Source organism: Homo sapiens, chromosome 19 (assembly GCF_000001405.40).
Source record: "Homo sapiens chromosome 19, GRCh38.p14 Primary Assembly".
Lineage (NCBI taxonomy): Eukaryota > Metazoa > Chordata > Mammalia > Primates > Hominidae > Homo > Homo sapiens.
Genome location: NC_000019.10, coordinates 7,987,967 through 8,005,317, shown reverse-complemented (window position 1 = coordinate 8,005,317; position 17,351 = coordinate 7,987,967). Strand labels below are relative to the sequence as shown.

Here is a 17,351-nt window from a genome sequence, read left to right as displayed (position 1 = left end):
TGGGCGCCGGCTACAGGCCCCGGGGCCGGATTCCTCTGGCGCCTCGAGGGACGGGCGAGGGGGATACGGCGTGGGCATGCGCCGGGGGGCCGGGCTGCACGGCCGGGGGCCCCGGTCGCCTTGGAAGCCCGGGCTCCGGGGGCGGGAGAGTGGGGCCAGCTACGGGGGAGCGCCGGGAACGCTTTGAGCGCGCAGAGGTCACGGCCCACGGGCTTGCTCCCCCGGGAAATCCCACAGATTCTTTTGTGGTCGTTGTCAGAGCACCGCGGCCGGTGCGAGGTCCTTTGAGAAGTGTGCAAACCCTTCAGTAGATACACGGGAGTCCTGGGGGAAAAAAAAAATCTAAACTGCATCTTTTTTTGAGCGCCATCTCTAACAAAGCTGTTTGTGGGGCGTGGGACGTTAGGATTTGTAAAATATGTGTGTGTGCCTGTTGGAAACACAAGCTGCACACAGTTGAACAATGGGGGATGGATGCCCTTCCTTCCTTTTCCGGTGCTCTGGGCTGCGGGGCTTGTTAAAATGGGTTTTGGTCCCTACTGTGTGCAGGGCAGGTGGAGAAGAACTTCTGCACAACTTCTGCATGGGCTTCCCGTGGTGGGACTGAGCCCCCTTGCTAGAAAGTGTTCATCTAAGATCCGGATGGCCAGAAATGGGAAGATGAGGAGAATGATCTGTCTAGAGCAGGGTTTCTCGACGTTGGCCCTACTGATGTTTGGGGTCAGATAGTTTTTGGTTGTGGTGGTAGTGGGGGCTTCCCTGTGCAATGTAGGAAGTTGAGCCGTATTCCTGGCCTCTACCCACTAGATGCCAGCAGTATCCCCATGCTCCAAGTCGTGAGGATCAAAAGTATCTCCAAACATTGCCAGATGGCTCGGGTTGCGGGGGAGGGGTCTCTTCCACTCTCACACGCACAGGTGAGAACCATTACTGAACTAAATGCTCTTCCTCCAAAAGTTCTAATGCCCTGGGAGATGCTCCCAAGACCTCGAACAAGCTTGACTCTGTTGAGCCTTAGTTTTCTTATCTATAAAATGGGAAGGACAAAAGTGTGGTGCAAATTGAAGAGGGTGGAAATCCCGTTGCGTTGTGCGTGGTCTGTGCCTGGTAGGCACTGAATAAATGATGTTGTACATAGCCACCAGTATTTATTGAGGATTTACTATGTGCTTGACACTTTGTGGACGTTTGTCTGCAGTCCTTGAGGCAGGTGATGTTATAATTTCCATTAATTTCCATTTTAGAGATGAAGAAACTGAGGCTTAGATGGGTCACTTGATGTGACCAGTCTCATGCACTAAAGTGGCTGCGCCAGGGTTTGAACTCGGGCCCTCTGATTCAAAACCCTTACTCTTAACCACTCGATTGTACTGCTCCTATAATCACAAGGCTCCAGGGCACTCCAGTTGTCATCGAATATTTTCTGTGTGCAAAGTTCTGTGCTGGGATCTATTATCAAATTCTGCAACTTCGAGGCCCACAAAGAGGTTGAGATACACGAACGTCTCAAATGTGGAAGGAAATAATACTGTTTATGTTGATGCATTGGTTTTGAGCAGACAGAGTTTCAGTCTGGATGTGTTGAGTCTGAGATCATGGTGCTATTTCTTTTTTTTTTTTTTTTTTGAGACGGAGTCTCACTCTGCCGCCCAGGCTGGAGTGCAGTGGTGCGATCTCGGCTCACTGCAAGCTCCGCCTCCCGGGTTCACGCCATTCTTCTGCCTCAGCCTCCCGAGTAGCTGGGACTACAGGCGCCGGCTACCACGCCCGACTAATTTTTTGTACTTTTAGTAGAGACGGGGTTTCACCGTGTTAGCCAGGATGGTCTCGATCTCCTGACCTTGTGATCCGCCCGCCTCGGCCTCCCAAAGTGCTGGGATTACAGGCGTGAGCCACCGCGCCCGGACCATGGTGCTATTTCTTTTTTTTTTTTTTTCTTTTTCTTTTTTTTTTTTTTTTTTTGAGACAGTTTCACCCTTGTTGCCCAGGCTGGAGTGCAGTTGTGCCATCTCAGCTCACTGCAACCTCAGCCTCCCAAGTAGCTGGGATTACAGGCAGCCGCCACCACGTCCAGCTAATTTTTTGCATTTTTAGTAGAGGTGGGATTTCGCCTTGTTGAGCAGGCTGGTCTCGAACTCCTGACCTCAGGTGATCCACCCGCCTTGGCCTCCTAAAGTCCTGGGATTACAGGTGTGAGCCACCGCGCCCAGCCCATGGTGCTATTTCAAGTAAAAGAAATGAGAGAATTATGAAAAAACTTTATGAAAATTTCTTGCCTCTCTCACTCTCCGCTTCCCATCTCTTCCCTCTTTCCACACTCCAGCAGGAGTTCTGTTCTGTAAATGCACATCTAATTGTATCCCTTCTGATTTAAAATCTTTGTGCAGAAAAAAGACACGTTTTCTTGACCTCTCTGGTGGCTTAAAAGATAAAGCTAGAAGCCCTTAGTTTGGAGTGCCAGTTCCTTCACACCCTAACCCTCCCCGCCCCTGCACGTAGACCCCAAACTCTAACCCTCCCTGCCTGTTGCAGCCTCCACCTGGAGACAGATCTCTTCCACCTGGAGATCCTTTGCTTATGCTCCATGGCTCAGCCCAGAGCTCACTGGCCGTTTGAAGCCTCGTCTGACTGCCACTCTTCCTCCACCCGCACCGGAATCAACTGTTCCCTCCTTAGTGTTCCCATCCCATTCAGTTTATTGAATCGAATTCAAGGCTGAATGGCGAGAGAAGCGCAGCGCCCGGCTGGCGCCCCTAGGTGGCAGTAGCGAGGCGGTGCGGCCGACCCGAGCTGTGGGTCAGGGGAAGACCAACGGAAGCCAGCCTGTGGGAGGGAAGTGAGGCTCGCTCCCTCCTCTGAACGACTCTCCCTGCTCCGCTGCTGTGTCCTGGGCCCCCGCTAGGCTCTGGAGAGTGTGCATGATGTGTGTAGGTCATCTCAGCCCACTCTGATGAGTGCTGTGAGAATTATGCCCTGGCTGATGTGGAAGCCCAGAAAAGGGACCTGGGTGGGCACAGGAGAGCCCAGAATGCTTCCTGGAGGAGAGGAGGCAGTAGCGGTGGGGAGGAGCTAACCAGGCAAAGACAATAGGGTGGGGCTTTTTAGGATACAGCCAAGCCCGGAGGTGGGAACATCGCAGTGTTCAGAGAACATCGTGTGTTCAAAGAACCACGTGGGTTCTTTAGGGACAAGAAGGCTGAGATGGGTAGTGGTGGCAGGAGTGCTCAGGTGTCCACTGGGCAGAGGGCTTGGCTGTTACCCTGCAGGTAGGCCAGGGGTGGCTACTGAGCAGTTTTAGTTCACTGCTCACCCTGGTGGAGAGGCTGGGGGGAGACAAGGAGAAACCAGTCACAGGCTGTTGCAGTACTGAGGTGGCCCCGTAATGGCTGAACCGCTTGAGGGTCAGGACTGGGACTGCTTCTATATTTTGTATGCCTGATGCTTTGCTCTGTGCCTGGCACGTGGTTGATATTTTGTCTGTGCCAGGGAAAGGAAAGATTGGCAGACTACTCAGAAGCGACTGGATCCAGGTACCTGTCAAACAGACATCTGTGGCTGGGTGTAGTGGCTCACACCTGTAACCCCAACAGCTTGGGAGGCCAAGGTGGAAGATTGCTCAAGGCCAGGAGTTCAAGACCAGCCTGGGCAACATAGCGAGATCCCATCTCTAAAAAAAAAAAAAATTTTTTTTAAGAGTGAGACGTTTATGTCAGGGGAAGGAATCACAGGAGAGGGAACAATCCTGAACAGCTCGATGGCCAGACTCATGTCACCATGAACAGAAACAGGCAGACTCAAGGAAGGGGAGTGACTAGGAGGAAGAAGATGAAGCTGGGTTTAGAGACACTGAGTTTGCAATCCCACTTAGGAGTCGGTCTAGCAGGAGGTGACAGGAATCTGAATAGGGATGGTGGCAGAGAGGTGGCAGGACGGTGAGAGATCTCACATGTCAAACTGGCAGGACATGGTGCTTGATTAGGTCCAAGGGCTAGAGAGAGGTGGCTTGGGGGACAGGTGGGGCTATGCCACCAAATGAAGTAATTCAGGGGGCGGAGGCGGTTTGAAGAGAGGGCAAGGACAGGAGGAGAGGAGATGAAGGTGTTTGTAGCTGCAGACAGGGAGGTTGGGGAGACATACATTCGCCTTGATTTTGTTCATGAAGTGGGACTAGAGACAGGTACTCACTGTACCAGGCACTGTGGAGCAAGGGGTGACATCCCCAGTGGAGGAAGCTGAAGCTCTGGGAAGGGGAGCGACTTCTGCACAGTAGTTCAGCTGATGAGCAGGAGACTTAGTGCCCAGCTCGGGCCTGCCAGGCTCCAGAGCTCAGGGTTTTTTCCTGCCATGCCCTGTTGCTTTGCACTTCTGTGTGAGATCCCTGCAGTGGCCTTTGGCCTTGACCAGCCAGAAAGAAGCCAGAGCCCTTAGCAGGGCTGTGGGGTGCCTGGACTGGGCCACAGGCCAGCCACACCTGACCTGCTCCTGCCCCGGGCTTCTCAGCCTGGCTGAAAGGGAATTGTCACTTAGCTGGAGCTGCTCCAGCCAGGCATCCTGCCCTTCTGTGGGCCATGGGCAGGGGCTTGGAAGAAGCTGGTGCCATGTCCACCTGAGACCTTGCCTTGCATGGCATTTATAACTGGGTCAGGTGGTGCTTTGGGTTTTTTCTGGCAGCAGAGCATTTCCTGAATGACCTAAGCCTTTTTTACCTGGAAGACTCAGAATGTTGCATCTGGAAAGGACCTTAAACATTATTGGGTCCAAGCCCTGTCAGATGATGTGTGAAGTGTCAAGATTGAGCCTGAAGATAGATTTGACTGTTCTAGTTTTGCTCTGGCTCAAGTGGTTTAGAATACCTGCTCCGTCATGGTGCAATGAAAGTGATTCTCATGCTTGCCTGGTGGAAAGCAGCCTCACTGCTTCACTCTTTTTCTGTCACACATAAAGACACACACATCTCTCTCCCCTGGATATGCGCTAGATGATCGACGGATGTGAACAACATCACTGATGTCACATAGACAACCAGGATTGTTTAAAATAGTGCATTGGAGTCAAAAACCTTCAGAGATCATCCAAACAAGACTTCTCCCAGAGGCCAGGCACCGACGGTGACTCTCACCTCTAAGCCCAGTGCTTGGGAGGCTGAGGTAGGAGGATCACTTGACGTCAGGAGTTAAAGACCAGCCTGAACAACATGGCGAGACACCCCCCCGCCCCCGCCTCTACAAAACATAAAAAAGCGGCCAAGCGTGGTGGCTCATGCTTGTAATCCCAGCACTTTGGGAGGCCAAGGCGGGTGGATCACCTGAGGTCAGGAGTGCCAGAGCAGCCTGGCCAACGTAGTGAAACCCTGTCTCTACTAAAAATACAAAAATTAGCCGGGCGTGGTGGCAGGTGCCTGTAATCTCAGCTACTCGGGAGGCTGAAGCCGGAGAATCACTTGAACCTAGGAGGCGGAGGTTGCAGTGAGCCAAGATCGCACCACTGCACTCCAGCCTGGGTGACAAAGCAAGACCCCCCTCTCTGCAAAACATAAAAAAGCTTAGACAGAACTACATAGAGGACTTAGTAGGACTACGTAGTGACACGCACCTGCAGTCCTAGGTACTTGGGAGGCTTAGGTGGGAGGATCACCTGAGCCTAGGAGGCCGGGGCTGCAGTGAGCCGTGATCATGCCTCTGCACTCCAGCCTGGTCTGAGAGCCAGCAGCCTCCTGTACTGCTGTGTGACACACCCTGGCTTTGCCTGGGGACTCTTAGATGGCAATGGTATAACCTGGGCCCTCAAGGTTCTCACCACTGACATTGGTCATTGAGTGTAAGGCAAATAATGATAGGAGTGGTTGGGACAGTAACAAAGGTTTACAGCAATGGCATGGAGGCACTGAGAACTAGAGTAAGTAACCTGTTGTCCTGGGGGAAGGTGGCCTTTTATTTTTTATTTTTTTGAGACAGTCTCACTCTGTTGCCCAGGCTGGAGTGCAGTGGCGTGATTTTGACTCACTGCAACCTCTGCCTCCCGCGTTCAAGTGAGTCTGCTGTCTCAGCCTCCTGAGTAGCTGGTACTACAGGCATGCACCATCACGCCCAGCTAATTTTTGTATTTTCAGTATAGACAGGGTTTCACTATGTTGGCCATGCTGGTCTCAAACTCCTGACCTCAGGTGATCCGCCTACCTCGGCCTCCCACATTGCTGGGATTACAGGCATAAGCCACCACGCCAGGCCAGGAAGGTAGCTTTTTAAAGATGAGCCAGCCTGGTGTAGTGGCTCTCACCTATAATCCCAGCACTTTGGGAGGCCCAGGTGGGAGGATGACTTGAAGCCAGCATGGGCAACAAAATGAGACCCCTGTCTCTAAAAAAATTTAAAAATCAGCCAGGTATGGTGGCACACACCAGTAGTCCCAGCTACTTGGGAAACTGAGGCAGTTTGAGGCTGCAGTGAGCCGTGATTATGCCACTGCACTCTAGTTTGGCAGCAGAGCAAGACCCTTTCTCAAAAGAAAAATAAGTAAAAATAGAAGTGAGCTGGGAGGCCAGGCATGGTGGCTCACACCTGCAATTCCAGCACTTTGGGAGGCCAAAGTAGGAGGATCACTTGAGCTTGGGAGTTCAAGACCAGCCTGGGCAACAAAGAGAGACCCCCATCTCTTTAAAAAAAAATACTAATTTTAAAAAATGAGCTGGGAAGTGAAGGAGAGGACACTAGTGCCCTGCAGAGGGAACAGCCAAAGCAGAGGCCTGTAGCATATTGGCAAGAAGCTGGAGTGAGCGGGAAGGGAGGGTGGCGACTGAGGCTGGAGAACCACCTGGGTCCGATTGTGAAGGGCCTTGCCAGTTTGACAGTTGCATTGTCATGACAACTTGAGGCCTGGCCCTGCCACTTATTAATGGCATGCCTGACCGTGAGCATCATCGTGTGACCGCCGAGCCTCAATGGGTGGTGACCACTGACAGGGAATACCAGAGGGGTGAGCATCTTGATTGCAGGACAGTGCAGGCCTTGCACCTCGAGAGACAGAAGTGGCTACGACTTGGGAGTCAGTGATAATTGAGTGGTGACAAGGCCCAGTTGTGGTTGGAGCTTGTGGGATAGAAGCTGATTTGGCCCAGGATTGATGATGCAGATTTGGAGAAGGTCAAGGGAAGGGCCTCCAGAGAGTGGGGTGGGGGCCCAGAAACGTCATGAAACTGCTTTGCAGGGCAGGTTGTTGGTTTCTCCCGTGTTACTAGTTGACCAAGAACTTGACCTGCAGGGGCTGCTCAGCCTTGACTCAGAGTGTCAGGAGGAACAGGGCCGCAAAGCAGAAGTTCTCTTTTTAAACCTTTTAAAATTTATTTTTATTGTGGTTTTGTTGTTGTTTTTGAGGCAGGATCTCACTCTGTCGCCCACGCTGGACTGCAGTGGCACAATCATAGCTAACTGCAGTATTGACCTCCCAGGCTCTAGTGATCCTCCCAGCTGAGCCCCCCGATTAGCTGGGATTGCATACAGGTGTGCATCACCATTCCTGGGTAATTTTTAATTTTTTTTTTTTTTGTAATGATGGCATCTCTCTGTGCTGCCCAGGCTGGTCTTGAACTCCAGGCTTAAGCAGTCCTCCCACCTTGGCCTCTGAAAGCGCTGGGATTAAAGGCATGAGTCGCCACACTCAGACAATTTATTTTTAAATTTGCATGTAGGAAAATTCATTTTTTCGAGTAGAGTTCTCTGAGTTTTGACAAACGGATAAAGTTGTTTGATTACCACCATAATAAAGATTGGAAAGTTCGCTCTCCCACAAACAGAAATACTCCCTCCTCCTGTCCCTGTGTAATCGACTTTTCCCCTCACTCCCTAACCCCAGCGACCACAGATCCATCCCTATGGTTTTGCCTTTTCCAGGAAGGCACAGAAATGATGTGGCAAGATGTGTTTGAGATTCACACAAGTAGCATGAATTGGTGATACCTTTTATTGCCAGGTGGTATTCTGTTGTATGGTGTATCCCAGTTTATCCATGAATGGCTTGAAGAATATTTGGGTTGTTGTAGTTTTGGATGATTATGAATAATGCCGCTCTGCACATTTATATACAGATTTTTGTGTGAATATAGATTTTCCTTTCTATTGCCTTAATACTAGGAGTAGGATTGCTGGATCCCATGCTAAGTGTATATTTCACCATAAGAAACTGCCAATCTGTTTTCCAAAGTGGCTGTCACATTTCACATTTTTGCATTCCCACCAGCAGTGCATGAATATTCTGGCTTCTCCACATCCCTGCCAGCACTTGACATTGTCTGTTTTGTTGCTGTTGGTTGTTTTTTGTTTTATTTTGCTTTAGCCATTCTAATAAGTGGGTAGCGGTGTCTCGATGTGGTTTTAATTTGACTAATGATGTTGAGCATCTTTTCATGTGCCTGTCTGCCATCCATATATATTCTTTGGTATAGTATCTGTTCAAATCTTTTGCCATTTTTGAAACCAGGTTGTTTGCTCATTATGTTGTTTTTGGTTTTTGGAGATGGAGTCTGGCCCTATCGCCCAGTTTGGAGTACAGTGGCGCCATCTCGGCTCATTGCAACCTCTGCCTCCCAGGTTCAAGCGATTCTCCTGCCTCAGCCTCCCCAGTAACTGAGATTACAGATGCCCACCACCACGCCTTGCTAATTTTTTTTTTGTTGTATTTTTGTAGAGATGGGGTTTCACCATGTTGGCCGGACTGGTCTCAAACTCCTGACCTCAGGTGATCCACCCACCTCGGCCTCCCAAAGTGCTGGAATTCCAGGCATGAGCCAGCACACTAGCCTGCTTCTGTTTTGAGAGCTTAAAAAAAAGTGTTCTGGGCCAGGCGTGGTGGCTCACGCCTGTAATCCCAGCACTTTGGGAGGCCGAGGTGGGCAGATGGGCAGATCACGAGGTCAGGAGATGGAGACCATCCTGGCTAACACGGTGAAACCCCGTCTCTACTAAAAATACAAAAAATTAGCTGGGCATGGTGGCGGGCGCCTGTAGTCCCAGCTACTTGGGAGGCTGAGGCAGGAGAATGGCATGAACCCGGGAGGTGGAGCTTGCAGTGAGCGGAGATCATGCCACTGCACTCCAGCCTGGGTGACAGAGCAAGACTCCATTTCAAAAAAAAAAAAAAAAGGGTTCTGGGTTGGGTGAGGTGGCTTACGCCTATAATTCTAATACTTTGAGAGGCCAAGATGGGAGGATCACTTGACACCAGGAATTCAAGACCAGCGTGGGCAACATAGTGAGACCCTATCTCGACAAAAAATAAAAAATTAGCCAGAAGGCTGAGGCAGGAGGATTGCTTGAACCCAAGAGTTTGTGGCTGCAGTGAGCTATGATTATGGCATTGCACTTCAGCCTGGGCAGTGGAGTGAGACTTTGACTCAAAAAAAAAAAAAAGTGTTCTGACTACAAGTCCCTTTTGCAAATGTTTACTCCAGTTGGTGGATTTTAATTCTCCTAGCAGTATCTTTCACAGAGCAAAAGTTTCAAATTTTGATGATATCCAGTTTATCCATTTTTTTTTTTTTTTAACGAAGTGGGCTTTTGGTGTTGTGTCTGAGAAATCTTTCCCCAGCCCAATGCCACAAAGATTTTTCTCCAAGAAATTTTATGTTTTTACATTTTAAAACAGAGGTCGGCAGATTTTTTTTGTGTGAAGAGCCAGATGGTAAATATTCTCAGCTTTTTTGGCCATACGGTTGCTACTACTTAACTGTGTTATTGTAGTACAAAACTATCTATAGACAGACAATACATAAACAAATGAGACAAGCTGTATTCCAATAAAACTTTATTTATAACAACAGGCAATGGGCCAGATTTGTACCACAGGCCATGATGTGTGTTTCAGGAGGTCCACTTTTCCCAGACCTAGAGGATACCACACTGTGGACAGTAAGCCTGGGACAGCCATTGTCCATCTCACCGTCCATGAAAGCAGAATGAGGGAAAAAGCAAAGTAGATGCCTAACTCTTAGAGAAAGGGCGAGGAGAAGGAAAGGTAAAGGAAAAAAGAGAAAGAAAGAAGGGAAATGCTTGAATTACATTTTGAGCAAGCTTCAATGTGCATTTTAATTCTTCAGTGTTAACCCTTGTGGTCTGTTTGGATCAGCTTCCAGCAAATGTTTTTGTCTGTTTGTTTGTTTTTGAGCCAGTGATCTATTCTAAAATCTCGTGGCCACAGATGGTGTAACAGACACGTGGAGTTTCTCATGATTAAAGTCTATAGGTCCCGAGCTGCTACTGAAAGTTGAAATTTAGCCATTTCCCATTAACGAATATTTAGAATTCTATCCAGTTTTATACTCTTATGAACCATGAGGTAGTGCCTTCCTTGCACTTTTTGTTTTGTTTTGTTTTGAGACAGAGTCTTACTCTGTTGCCCAGGCTGGAGTGCAGTGGCGCCATCATGGCTCATGCAGCCTTGATCTCCTGGGCTCAAGCGATCCTCCCTGCCTTTGTCTCCCGAGTAGCTGAAACTATAGGCATGGGTCACCATGCCCACTAAATTATTTTATTTTTTGTTGAGAGTCAGGGTCTCACGTTGTTGTCCAGACTGGTCTTGAACTCCTGCACTTGCGTGATTATTTCTGTAGAAAGATCCTGCAGTTGTGAGTCAGAAGGTTCTACCATCTCATACTCAGATCAGTAGCAGGTGATCTTGCGCTGGATTTTATTCCATGTGACTGGCAGAAAATAGCATCTGGTTTTCTTTTGCATTTTCCTCATTGTTCACGAAGATGAAGTTCAGTGTCTTTTTCTGGACTTACGAGCCATTTGAATTTAAGGCCTTTATAAATTGCTGCTCACATCCTTTGCCTACTTCCCTCTTGGTTACGTCTCTTCTTTTATCCCTTACCAATTTGTAGATGTTCCGAATCAAGTTTTCCCAACCTCGGCAGTACTGACATTTGGGGTTAGATAATTCTTGGTTGTGGGGCCGTCCTGTGCCCTGAAGGATGCTTTACAGCTCTCTGACTTCTACCCACCAGGTGTCAGTAGCACCCCCTCCCCCGACCCCTGGCCCTGACCAAGTCACAGTAACCAAAAATGTCTCCAGACATTGCCCTGTGTCCCCTTGGGGGCAGAATGGCCCAGTGTGAAAACCACAGGTCTAAATAATAGAATATGCAGTGAATCTTTTCTCTAGGCTACTCCTCTTCGTCTAGGTCTGTGATGCCTTTTGCTGTACAGAGGTTTTTAATTTCATGGAGTCTCACTTTTCAGTCTTTTTTTCTATGGCTTTTGATGCTAACCTACTTTTTAAAGAGCAGGGAGCATAGGACATCCTCAAATAAAAGAAATGTTAGGAAATTGTACTGATTTTCCACATTGTCTGAGACTAGTAGGAGGGTAGGGAAGACCTGGATGTTTCTACCAGGAAGAAAGAAACCAGACCTAATTCTTCCCTCGGCGTTGATTCAGGGAGTAGGTAGGAAATCTCCACATGAGAGGTGTGTTCAGATTTTTATGTAACTGCTGGCAAGGCTATTTTTAAAGAAGGCCAAAGGCGCATGACCGTGGGCACTGGGTGTTCAAACATAACAGAATTGAGCAACAGGGATCTGGGGAAAGGGATGGGCTCTCACCGAGACCTCCAGGCGGGTGGCCATCCACAGGGATGACTACCTGTGTGTTTAGAGGCAGGGATGAGGGGCCTCTGAGAAGTGAGCCCAGTGTGCGGCGCACTTTCAGCAGGGCGGGCTCGGCATACTTGGCCGCATTGATCTGGACTCTTCTCCAAAGTCATCACTGGCTCTGATGTTTATCACTGAAAGGAAAGACTTCAGCAACTGAGAAAGACATTTCAAAGCCTGCAAACTGTGAAGACCAAGTTCCTCTGACTGGTAGAGAAACCCTCACCTCTTTCCAGCTCACTCACTGTGTCTTTGGGAATAAACAGGTGCAGAGGACCATTGCCTACCTGCCCCCTCAGCAGCAGGGTGTCCAGGGGTGGGGTTCAGGTACACCCCACAGGCTCTGGACATGGGGAGAAAGCAATCGGAAATCTGGAATTCTCTCGAGAGACAACCCAAAGGCTTTTTTACAGGATCTTAAATTGTGGTGCTGGAATTGTTTGTAGGTCTCTCCGAAGCCCTCTTAGTGAACTTGGAGTTGTTCTGTTTTGTGTCCATAGACTATTTTTTAGAGCAGTTTTAGGTTTACAGAAAAATTGTGGAGAACACTCGTTCTGTAGCATTACAATGAAGTATTGACTGAATAAAATTTTTTTTAAATAGAAAGAAGCCGGACACAGTGGCTCATGCCCGTAATCCTAGCACTTTGGGAGGGTGAGATGGAAGGATTACTTGAGGCCAGGAGTTCAAAATTAACCTGGGCAAGATACCATCTCTACAAAAAGTTTTAAAAATCAGCCGGGCGTGGTGGCACATGCCTGCGTTCCCAGCTACTCAGGAGGCTGAGGTGTGAGGATCGCTTGAGGATCTCCCAGGAGCCTTGGCTGCTGTGAGCTGTGATGGCGCCGCCACACCCATTATTAGCATCTCACATTCACATGGTACCTCTGTTATTCTTGGTGAATCAATATTGACACATTATTAGTAACTAAAGCACGTAATTCAGATTAGAGTTCACTCTGTATATTGTTCATTCTGTGGGTTTTGACAAACATGTATTGTCACATCCACCACTATATATCATGCAAAATAGTTTCACTGCCCTAAAACCCTGACAATCCCGTGTTCCACTATTTGTTGTCCCCCCCACGCCGACCTGCATCGCTGGCAACCATTGATCTTTTTCTCTGTAGTGTGCCTCTTCCAGAAGGTCATAGAGTTGGAATCATACAGTGTATCACTTAACAGTATACATTTAAAGTTCCTTTAAATGTCTTTCCTAGCTTAATAGCTCATTTCTTTTTATCATCAAAAAATATGCCCCTGTGCAGCTGAACCACATGAATGGAGTCTGTTCATTCATTCACCCATTGGAGGAGATCCTGGTTGCTTCCAGGTTTTGGCAATTATGAGTGAAGCCGCTGTAAACATCCATGTGCAGATTTTTGTGTGGCTGTAAGTTAACATGCAGCATAGAAAAGAATCTCTAAGTGCAGGGCCAGGTGCTGTGGCTCATGCCTCTAATCCCAGCACTTTGGGAGGCCGAGGCAGGTGGATCACCTGAGTTCAGGAGTTTGAGACCAGCCTGGCCAACACGACGAAACCCCGTCTCTACTAAAAATACAAAAATTAGCTGGGCATGGTGGCAGACGCCTGTAATCCCAGCTACTCAGGAGGCTGAGGTAGGAGAATCACTTGAACCTGGGACGCAGAGGTTGCAGTAAGCCGAGATTGTGCCACTGCACTCCAGCCTGGGTGACAGAGTGAGACTCTGTCTCAAAAACAAAACAAAAAAAAAAAAAAAGAAAGAAAGAAAATCTCTAAGTGCAAATGCAGTTACTAGTTTTGCCTTCATATACTGCAATATGAACATTTTGAATTTACTTGCTCTTTTTCTCTTGGCAGATTTTTGAAAAATACAATGTCTAATGGTTATGAAGACCACATGGCCGAAGACTGCAGGGGTGACATCGGGAGAACGAATTTGATCGTCAACTACCTCCCTCAGAACATGACCCAGGATGAGTTACGAAGCCTGTTCAGCAGCATTGGTGAAGTTGAATCTGCAAAACTTATTCGGGATAAAGTAGCAGGTAAAGAAATGGAGGCGTTTTAGTAAACCGGGTATTGGTGGCCATCCTTTGGGCACTGTCTCCTTTGCCTGTGACTCTGTGGCATTCCTCAGTGCAGGATAACTACAGCCTTGAAACGATGGCTGTGAAGTTTCATTTTTATTTCAAACTCTGTCCATTGCTCTTGTATAAGATCGGACATAAGTTCCCAAAAGAGGAAAAATTCATTGTAAGACAGAGAGCATGTACAAAATAAGACAGTGGGAGGAGAGGAAGGAACCAGAGACAGGGCATTCTGAGAGCTGGAAGGGGCTGGAGAACCACAGCCTGACCTGGCTTGGCCTGGGCAGATTGATTGGGTCCCACGTGTGGAAGGGACCCTGGCGAGTGTACTGTCCAGGGCAGGTGCAGGTAGGCCTGCCCCTGTCTGTCCAGGCCCCCACTCTTGGTCAGGCCCAGGTCAGCAGAACACCGAGGACCTTGTGGACAGCCCTTCGTTATGTTTGGGCTGCTCTGTCTACTGTCAACACCATCAACTTGAACTTCTGCACCATGCTGAGCTTGAACTCTCAGAGGGGCAGGAGCCTGGCAGCTAAAAGCCCTGCTGTTCCACTCCCTCACAGTGGGACTTCTAAGCCTTTGTGTCCCCATCCGGAATGTGGAGATTGTGGCTTCTACATCCTGGTGGTCCCTACCTCGTAGGTGTTTGCAGAGGTCCTGGCACTTGTGAAGGCCTTCCTTACAGAGTGGCCTCCATTCTGAGAGCATGGCTTCAAGGACTCGGGAGAGAATTACGGACAGACCATGTGCGGAGCTCTCCTCCTCCTCCTCTCCCAATGGCCCCTCTTCCTCCTCTTCCCTCTACCCACCCCTACCCCCCTGCCTTCCTTTCTGTCTCCGCCCTGCTTTAGGAAGCCAAGGAGCGGCCAGTCCTCTCGGGGCTCTGTCTGCCACCCTGGATTTGGGGACTGTGATTCCCTATACTGAAAACTCACTTCAGGCTGGGCACAGTGGCTCACACCTATAATCCCAGCACTTTGGGAGGTCGAGGTGGGAGGATCACTTGCTCAGAAGTTCAAGACCAGCCTGGGCAACATGGTGAAACCCCATCTTTACGAAAAATACAAAAACTTAGCTGGGCGTGGTGGCCCGCATCTGTGGTCCTGGCTATTTGGGGGCGCTGAGGCAGGAGAATTGCTTGAGTCTCGGGGGTTGAGGTTGCAGTGAGCTGAGATTGCACCTTACCAAGTACCACTTGGTACTAAAGTGTCTTCTACACTTTAGCCTGGGCAACATAGTGAGACCTTGTCTCAAAAAAAAAAAAAACTAATTTAAAAGTTGAATGCTGGGCACGGTGGCTCATGCCTATAATCCCAGCACTTTGGGAGGTCAAGGCAGGCAGATCACCTGAGGTCAGGAGTTCGAGACCAGCCTGGCCAACATGGTGAAACCCTGTCTATACTAAAATTCAAAAATTAGCCAGGCGTGGTGGCGCACGCCTATAATCCCAGCTACTCAAGAGGCCGAGGCAGGAGAATCACTTGAACCTGGGAGGCGGAGGTTGCAATGAGCTGAGATTGTGCCACTGCACTCCAGTGTGGGCAACAGAGTGAGACTCTGTCTCAAAAATAAAAAGTTAACAAAAGTTTCTATTATGAAACATTTCAGGCATACATGAACATAGAGTGATGTGTTGAACCTGATGTACCCATCATTGCACTTTATCTTCAACATTTCCCCAGTAACCTTAAGACACCTGACCCCCACATGACTCCCAAAGAGCCTGTCTGGCCGCTCTACAGGGAATTAGCTCTTCAGATGCAGGCACTGAATAAGAAAGCCTTCTCTCCTTCCAACTCCAAGAGTCTGATTTAATAAACGCCTTCTCAATGGGGATTTTACACAGTATACAAACTTGAGCAGTGTTAGAATGTTCTAGAAGCCAGCATCTCTCTCCTGCTCCAGGAGACCATCCTAAATAAGAGAAGGGTTTTAAAATTCTCCTGTGCCACTAACAATTCTCACCTTTTTCCTCTTTCTGGTGGAAGGGAATTTTCCTTGATATTCCTGAGCACCAGAGATATTGCAAGCATTCCCATGGAATTTGCAGTTATTCTCCTGCAACCTGACTTCTTTGTCTGTTCCCTTGTGGTTTTCACAGGAATGTGAGCTATGCTAAAGGAACACCTAGATTTGGCTCAGTCTGGAGAGAACTGGTTTTGAGAATCAGTGAAGGCTGCAAAAGTGTAATTTGGAAATTATTTCAGTTCGGAGGTGAGCCCTGTCTTATCTTTGGACAGTAGTTAGTAACTGGCGCACCAGGAGTTGTGGAGTGGCTGGGCCTGGGCTTTCATCTTGGCCCAGCCTCTTGTTAGCAGCCCTTCAAGTGACTGGAGCTTTACGGAGAACATGCTGCAACCTGGCTTTGCTCAGCCTGCCGCCAGTGTGGGCAAACCTCTTCGCTGGCAGGGCCCGGGGCACGGCGCTAGGTCTCACCACCCCTCTCCCCAGCCAACGGCTTTCTCCCAGCCTCCCAAGACAGCCTCTCACCCGGCCAGGCAGGCACCCCGGCGAATCTGATCCCTGGCCTAGCTCAGCTCACAACACGGGTGTCTCCGAGCCCCACAGCAGCCATTTCCCCGTGTTTACCCTCCTCGGTCCTCTGACCACCCCCTTCACCCTCAGCTGATGACCACCTCCCGCTTCGCAGTGGAACTAATAGCGTCTCCAGCTCTCCAGCCCCGATCCTCCCTTCCCTTCCCTTCCCGGCTTCCCAAGAGCCTCAGGCTCTCCAAGTGCCCACTTTTCCTGGGCTTCGAGTGTCTTGAAAGGAATTCCTTCCAGACTTCCAGCTTCCTCTAGCTCGGAGTTCCTCCACATCTGTGGCTCCTGATGTCAGGGCTGGACGCCGCACTGGACACTGCAGGGTGTTGAGCAGCATCCCTGGCCTCCACCCACGTGGTCCCAGTAGTGACATCCCAGTGGTGAAACCCAAAAATGTCCTGACATTGCCGCATGTCCCCTGGGAGGCAGAGTCTCCCCTAGCGAGAGCCACTGCTGTGTGTGTTGGCCTCCCACCCACATACTGTCCTGTTCCCTGTCTCCACCTCCTTCCAGAAGCATCCTCTCCCATTGGCTTTCAGGAGCACCTCCTCCTCCCACCTGTCTAACTGCCCCTGAGGCCATGCCCCATCTGTCTTTAGCGCCTTTCCCCAGCCTTTGACTCAGCCGGTTATGCCAGAGGGTTATGCTCAGAGGGTTATGTCATTCTCCTCTTCTTCCAAAGCTGACACTCACGGTGGGCAGAGTCACCTCATGGCTCCCAGCTGCCCTCTGTCTGCCACCTCCTTTTTGACCAGAAGGCTGTCCTGAGCTCCAGAAGCCCTCGGCCCCTTAAATTCAGTATATTCCTAACTGACCTGACTCTCCCTAAAGCCAGCCACTCGTTTCCAGTTGTCCCCACCTTAGCCGATGGCACCACCATCCACTTGGTAGCTCTGCTCAGAAATCTAGGCGTGTCCTTGGCTCTCATCCTCCTGGGTGTTGCTTCAGTCCATCCCTTTCCCCTCTCTCCTCAGCCACCATTCTAGCCCAGGACACCACTGCTGGTGGCCTGCACTGTCGTTTTGGCCTCTTAACTGGCCTCCTATGCTCCCTGAAGACCACTGTCCTCACTGCAGCAGAGGGGCCTGTTTGAC

At 49.5% G+C, this 17,351-nt stretch overlaps 1 protein-coding gene across 3 annotated transcripts in view, besides 5 other annotated features; it reads left to right on the top strand.

Moving 5' to 3' along the window:
* ELAVL1 (ELAV like RNA binding protein 1) overlaps positions 1-17,351 on the top strand; it is a 47,069-nt gene that overhangs the window by 324 nt on the left and 29,394 nt on the right. For 2 of the 3 annotated variants that reach the window (XM_047438384.1, XM_047438383.1), the window contains exons 1-2: positions 3,114-3,266; positions 13,487-13,674. In XM_047438384.1, coding sequence (XP_047294340.1) covers positions 3,202-3,266; positions 13,487-13,674 — 253 coding nt within the window. In that variant the 5' untranslated portion in view covers positions 3,114-3,201. Of the gene's footprint in view, positions 1-3,113; positions 3,267-13,486; positions 13,675-17,351 lie in introns of those variants that run through there. The other variant, NM_001419.3, reaches the window with a different exon arrangement.
* Positions 22-221: a silencer, noted in NCBI's record as "silent region_10007". NCBI's record gives its function as "represses an Ori minimal core promoter by ATAC-STARR-seq in GM12878 lymphoblastoid cells {active_cell/tissue: GM12878}" and the evidence as "EXISTENCE:reporter gene assay evidence [ECO:0000049][PMID:35858748]".
* Positions 252-301: a silencer, noted in NCBI's record as "silent region_10006". NCBI's record gives its function as "represses an Ori minimal core promoter by ATAC-STARR-seq in GM12878 lymphoblastoid cells {active_cell/tissue: GM12878}" and the evidence as "EXISTENCE:reporter gene assay evidence [ECO:0000049][PMID:35858748]".
* Positions 2,376-2,986: an enhancer, noted in NCBI's record as "H3K27ac-H3K4me1 hESC enhancer chr19:8067216-8067826 (GRCh37/hg19 assembly coordinates)". NCBI's record gives its function as "activates a minimal SCP1, AML or CMV promoter by ChIP-STARR-seq in primed H9 embryonic stem cells {active_cell/tissue: H9 hESC(primed)}" and the evidence as "EXISTENCE:reporter gene assay evidence [ECO:0000049][PMID:30033119]".
* Positions 2,987-3,598: an enhancer, noted in NCBI's record as "H3K27ac-H3K4me1 hESC enhancer chr19:8066604-8067215 (GRCh37/hg19 assembly coordinates)". NCBI's record gives its function as "activates a minimal SCP1, AML or CMV promoter by ChIP-STARR-seq in primed H9 embryonic stem cells {active_cell/tissue: H9 hESC(primed)}" and the evidence as "EXISTENCE:reporter gene assay evidence [ECO:0000049][PMID:30033119]".
* Positions 3,354-3,403: a silencer, noted in NCBI's record as "silent region_10005". NCBI's record gives its function as "represses an Ori minimal core promoter by ATAC-STARR-seq in GM12878 lymphoblastoid cells {active_cell/tissue: GM12878}" and the evidence as "EXISTENCE:reporter gene assay evidence [ECO:0000049][PMID:35858748]".